Source organism: Homo sapiens, chromosome 5 (assembly GCF_000001405.40).
Source record: "Homo sapiens chromosome 5, GRCh38.p14 Primary Assembly".
NCBI classification, from domain to species: domain Eukaryota; kingdom Metazoa; phylum Chordata; class Mammalia; order Primates; family Hominidae; genus Homo; species Homo sapiens.
The window spans coordinates 161,625,872-161,629,449 of record NC_000005.10 but is presented as its reverse complement, the minus strand read 5'-3'; positions in this window follow the sequence as shown (position 1 = coordinate 161,629,449).

Here is a 3,578-nt window from a genome sequence, read left to right as displayed (position 1 = left end):
AGCTGTCACTCTAAAGAACCCCTTCCTACCTCCAGAAGCTGAGCTATGTGAAGCTGGGGAATTTTCAAAATTGAGATGTGGGGTGGGGAGGTACGTAAACACATGCAGGCAGGAACTCCAGAGTGAAGGCGCAGATCATACACATCCCTCTTCGTATGATGTATATTTAGAAAATCACGATGATTTTCTCCTATGGGTGGGGACTTTAGCATTACAATTATATGTTAATGATTTAAAGGGGGGCACCAATTCTCACTTGAACCCATCTGGCATGGTTCTTATTTCCCTCTGGTATTTGGCAAAGGATCATAAATCTCTTGGGGCATCCCAAGCTATTTGGGGTTCATTAAGTAGCCATGCCTGTGGATCAGGAGATTAAATTGAAAAAAACTGTCAAAATAAAAATTCCAACTGCTTAGGCTGGCATTATCCTGGTGACATTTGAGTGGATAATATTCAACCTATTACAGTTACCCAACAATATGAAATGGGAGCCTAGTGGTCCTAAACAATGGATGCCCCACACAGTCAACGTATTTGTAAGTGGAAGCAATATGATATGAGTATCCCTATCAGATTTGGTAAACAGGTTTGAATCTTAGCTGTGTCTCTTACTGACGTTGTAGCCTTGGCAACTTAACTTAAAATCTCTAAGCCTCAGCTTCTTATGCACAAACTAGGCATAATAAAACTATCTACTCTCACAGGGTTGGGAGCTGGTTAAATAAGTATGTGTAAAAATTTAGCATATTGCATAATGCATAGTACTGTATAAATAAATATTAGCTAGTAGTATTTGTCTGTTTAGTTTTTATATTTGCATTACAAATAAAACACCTCTGATTATTTTAGCATCATTATCTGCCCTAGTATTGGGCCGCAAGTGGAAGAAGTGTGATAGTATGTAAAGAGTGAACATCTGGGAGGTAGGAGACCTGGCTTCCTGCCATGGATCTGAGACCATACAGAAGTTATATCCTCTTGAGATAGCACATTCTATATCTACAAATGGCACATTTAGATCAGAGGTTGGAAAATTATAGTCCATGGGCCAGAGCCAGCCACACTCATTCATTTAGGTATTGTCTATGGCTGCCTGGCTGCCCTACAACAGCAGAGTTGAGTAGTCCCTAGGGCGACCTGTCTAGTCAGCAATGCTGAAAAGACACCATTTGACGCTTTGCAGTTTAGATGGCTTAGATGCTTATCTCTGTTTAGATGCTTACTTAGAACTTTCTGCCTTGAGCTTCTGTAGTTCCAAAGCCTCACTATTCATGTTCTTCTGGGCCAAGTAAACCAACAGATCACGAAGCTAAGTTATCTAGGGCATGCACTGAATTATAGAGCATCAGAGATAATTAATAATACATTTTCAACTGAACCAAGCACTACTTGATCATTTAATTGGAAGAGGAGGATAGAATCAAAGCAAAAAAAAAAAAAAAAAGGAAATATTTCCTTCTTGGTAAATGACAAAAGTTTTTTCAAACAGAAAATTGTCCTCTTTCTGTTATGGTTTAGCCTAATTAGGATACATTTGAGAAACAGATGGTTTAACGTAGAGACTGTTATTTATTAGAAAAGTAGGCAAGTAATTGCAACACTATACCATTCTCTAATGTTGCCTAGTATAAAAGTCTGTTGGACTTTTAAGGAATATATAAGAAGAGTTGTAATTCGCATGTCAAACTACCAGTTAGGTATATCTGGCTTCTACTAGTATTAATGTTATAATTGGCTGGCTTCTAGCTCTCCTTGACTGCCCTTGGCTTTCATGCAATGAGGGTGCTTTTTCCTTAAGATTACTACTCTTAAACAACTGTGAGGAAAGGAACGGAAAAGACAAGAGAGAAGATAGAAAAAGAGAGAGAAGGATGGAGGAAGGGAATGAGGACGGAAGAAAAATTTGGTAAACACTCAGTAAGAGATTGTCTTTGCATCTGGGAGGGAATGGTCTGGGTCTAAGGCAGTGGGATTCCTTTTCTGGCTATTTCCAGACAGCCTCCTCTATTTACCCTAATGTGCTAAAGAATGTAATTTCATATGTGTGTCTTGATGTGACCCTAGAATCTTAATTGGTGGTGGTAATTTTTTCCAATTTTTGGAGATGTGGGGCCACTTGGTCATTCACCCCTCCTTTCCTAGATTCCTAACATATTAATAAATAGTCTTTATTAGCCAAATAAAGGAGAGTTCTCAACATTACTGTAAAATAGATAGATAATGTAACACAAAAAACCTTGGCAAATTCTATCCAGCATGCATTTGAGACCTATTGCTAAATTTCCTTAGATTGATGGATGTCACCGTGGAAAGGAAAAAATAAGGAGCCGAAGGAAGGAGCTGGAAATGTGCATCCAAATAATCATCCCTTAGAATCGGAAGTCTCTTTCTCTCTCTAGAAACACAAATGGAAGAGAACAAGCATTTCTTCTAACAAATTTACATAATACAGCAACTAAACCTGGATCTAAATCCAGGAACTTGAGGTATTAGGACTTTACTAGTTGTATTACTAATTCCAGCACACAACAACTTCTCTGGGCCTCAAATGCAACCTCTATCATGTACAAATCAAAATATCTTACCTTTTAGAAACCACTGTAACATATCACCACCAGCAATTCCTTCCCTTCTAAGATCGGAGATACCGTAAAAAGTGACTCACACTCAGTTCTTGGGAGAACCATACACTCTGACTTCATTAGAAGAAATTAACTTATCTTAACATCTTTATTCGAAGAGATGGTAGAGTGGGAAGTGGGATGGTATTGTAACACCATACTCTGTTATTTTGTAACTCCCTATTTATAAATTGCACTGTAATTATTGCTTATGGAATTGAAACTGCTTTAAAGTCTTGTGGGGGGGTGATGTGTGGAAATTATGAGTTTTTCTATTGAAGAAGAAGTGTATTCATGGAAAGAACAACATCACAAAATAGTAGAAATGACACCCTGGGAGCCAATTAAAAACAAACAAACAAACAATAATCTTGGGTTATAAATTAAACTATTACTAATCTTTTAGTCTAGATCTGCTAATTATCTTGAAACAATGTGATAATTGTGTTATTATTTTAAAAAATGTATCCCAGGGAAATTATACTAATGTAAAATAAATTTGATTTTTTAGAAGTTTACTTTATTAGAGATTAATATAATATATGCAGCATAACACCTTAAATATACTTACAGACATATAAGAATGACATAATCAGTTATTCCTAATTATTTTGATGTATTTTATACTCATTTAGGTGAGTAAATTAAATTATGAAAAGATGTAAAAGATAATTTGTATAATGAATGCTGAAAGCACTGTAGTTTTGACACAGAATTATTAATGAAATTATTTGTCTTGGGAGTTAATTGCAATATACATCAGTGTTAATAATTTATTTTACCTCTATTCACTCCAAATAATTACATTTGTATCATAAAAGAAACTATCTTAAATTTAATGGCGCTATAAAATCATAATTAATAGTAGCATAAAATTAATTTGTAATTTTTCAAAAATATTCACCAGAAACATAGATATTATCTGCAGTAACATAGAATTTTCTGTTTACACAG